This window comes from Homo sapiens, chromosome 22 (genome assembly GCF_000001405.40).
Source record: "Homo sapiens chromosome 22, GRCh38.p14 Primary Assembly".
NCBI classification, from domain to species: Eukaryota; Metazoa; Chordata; class Mammalia; order Primates; family Hominidae; genus Homo; species Homo sapiens.
Genome location: NC_000022.11, coordinates 21,298,203 through 21,300,990, shown reverse-complemented (window position 1 = coordinate 21,300,990; position 2,788 = coordinate 21,298,203).

Below are 2,788 nucleotides of genomic sequence, written 5' to 3'. Positions count from 1 at the left end.
ATTTTATGTTGGGAGTTTGATCTGCCATTTATCAAGTATGGAATCTTGAACAAGGGGTTAAACATCTGAATGTCTCCATCACTTCATCTCTAAAGTGGGGGTGCTCACACCCACTGGGCTCCCCCGCCCAGGTTGGTGCCGGACTCTCCCTGGGCCCCCCTGTTCTCTCACCAGCCACATCCATTCTCCCCCCAGAGGCGCTAGTGACTGTGCGTGGCTTTCCATTCCCACCACGTTTGTCTCTAACCCCAGTGGCAGATCAGTGTAAGAACACAGCTGAGTGCTCCTCGCCTCCTTGCCCCTTCAAGGGCTCCTCACCACCCACCAGATCAGGTGCAAACTTCCAAGCCTTACTGGATCCCCTTCCACATTCTGAGCTCCGCCTGCCTTCCCATCGCTATCCTTCCCCACCTGCCTCCCTGGTAGAGAAAAGCGGAGTGTGTGATGCTGTCTGAATGCTGAGCATGGCCTTTTGCAGCCAGTCCACTGTGTACGCTGCCCCTATCGGAGACCTCCACCTTAAGCCTTTCCAGCCTGGAGGCTCCTCCCAGGGCCCCACAACAGAAGTGACTTCCCTTGCCTTTGAATTTCTATAGCACAAGCCCTACTGCCCCCCGTTAAAACTGCAAAGTCCTTTTGTGGAAAATAACTTTATTCATGACTGTGTTTATCACACTATCTTATGGAGAAGAGATGATCAATAAATATTTGCTGAATAAATGAATAGCAGTTACAAAACACTTGATTCATATGGAATTAATGTTGGTTCTCAAAGTGAAAAATTACAAAAAGCACTGATATTCAGCCAGTATACAAGTCTGGTCACAGCAGTTGTATAATACTGAAATACCCCCTGCCACTGACCTTTGGCCCCCAGATGCCTCCCACTGCCACTGCTCTCCCCACTGGGAACCCCTGAAGTTCCCACAGGCTCATAACTAAAGGGCTAATGTCTCGCACAGCAGCGAGCACCCAGGACCGAGCAGCCACATGGCCGGGTCTGCTGGTGAAAGCATCCATTCTGACTGATCAGGACCTGAGGGGCCTCATGGTTACATATTTTGATAATATCCCTAATTATAAATAAGGCTCAGTTATATAGTTTGAAAACAGTGCTTCTCCTCATTGCAAAATCTCTTAGAAGACTCCGTAGATCCAGGAACGGAAATGGAAAATGACAGCGTGTCAATCTCTGAAGGTTTTGGGCATTTCCATTAGCACTCCATCTTCATGTAAACCAGAAGATATGCAGTTTCCTGCCTAGAGAGAAGAGAAGACACATCAGCACAGCGGCATGAAACCTTCATCAGAAAACAATGCTTCATTAATCCGTGACAGGACAAGCGTCAGCAAACTTCCAGGCGGCTGGATTAGGCCTTCATCTATCCATCACCTTGGAGAGGAACAAAATAGGTGGCCTGGGAAGATAAGCACTATGTTTCTATTAGTTAATATCTAAAGCGGAGGTTAACAAGCTATGGACACACAAGCCAAACCCAGCCCTCTTGGGGTTTTTTAAATCTACTTTCAACTTTTATTTTAGATTCAGTGGGCACATGTGCAGGTTTGTCACGTGGATATGAGCATACTCCCCAACAGTTGGCCTTTCACCCCTCCCCTCCCTCCCCATCCAGCAGTTCCCAGTTGTTGCCATCTTTAAGTCAATGAGTCCCCATGTTTAGCTCCCATTTATAAGAGAGAACATGCATTATGTTTTGTTTGGTTTTTGCTGGTTTTTTTTTTTTTTTTAATGGAGTCTTGCCCTGTAGCCCAGGCTAGAGTGCAGTGGCACAATCTTGGCTCACTGCAACCTCCGCCTCCCAGGTTCAAACGATTCTCCCTCCTCAGCCTCCCGAGTTTAAAGTATGTATTTTTTTAAAGAAAATCCTCTTCAGTGATTTTCTAATTTTTCTAGATTTTCTAGTTTTTCCATGCCTATTTTCAGCAGGTTGCATTAACATGTACGTGGTGACTTAGCTTTCTGAAAAGAGCTATGGTATAATGAATATATGCCACTTGCCAGAAACCATGGTCAACACCATACATACCTCATTCCTAAGTGACCTATAAACATAGCAAGGCTGGCATTACCATGCCCATTTTATAGATGAAAAGATCAAGGCTTGGTGATGCTAAGAGACAGGTCTAAAGCTACAAGTTTACAAAGTAACAAAGTCAATTTAATCATAAGCACATTCACTTCTTTGTTCACTTTTCAGATACAATGTTTAAAAATATGTCAAATGATAAGCATTTCCTATTTGTTTTACTCTGAAATATAGTGATGTCCTTTGCCAGCTACTTAAAAATGTTTTGTCCTTACTCTGAAATATGAATAACTGATGTGTTTGTTTTTGAGACAGGGTCTTACTCTGTCACTCAGGCTGAAGTGCAGTGGCATGATGTCGGCTCACTGCAACCTCTGCCTTCCAGGCTCAAGTGATCCTCCTACCTCAGCCTCCCAAGTAGCTGGAATTACAAGCGTACACCACCAGGCCTGGCCGATTTTTTGTAGAGATGGGGTTTTGCCATGTTGTCCAGGCTGGTCTTGAACTCCTGAGTGCAAGCAATTTGCCCACCTTGGCTTCCCAAAATGCTAGGATTACAAGCATGAGCCATAGTGCCCTGCCTACTGTTGTTTTTTGATAACTTGTTTGCCCTCTTCCTCCCTTTCTTACCCTCCCTCCCCTGATGGTCTCCCTCTCCTTTATAGATACAGGGCCAGTGGCCTCAAGCCAGTACCTTGGATGTTTACCTCTACTGTATTTTGGGCTAGGACATTATAATT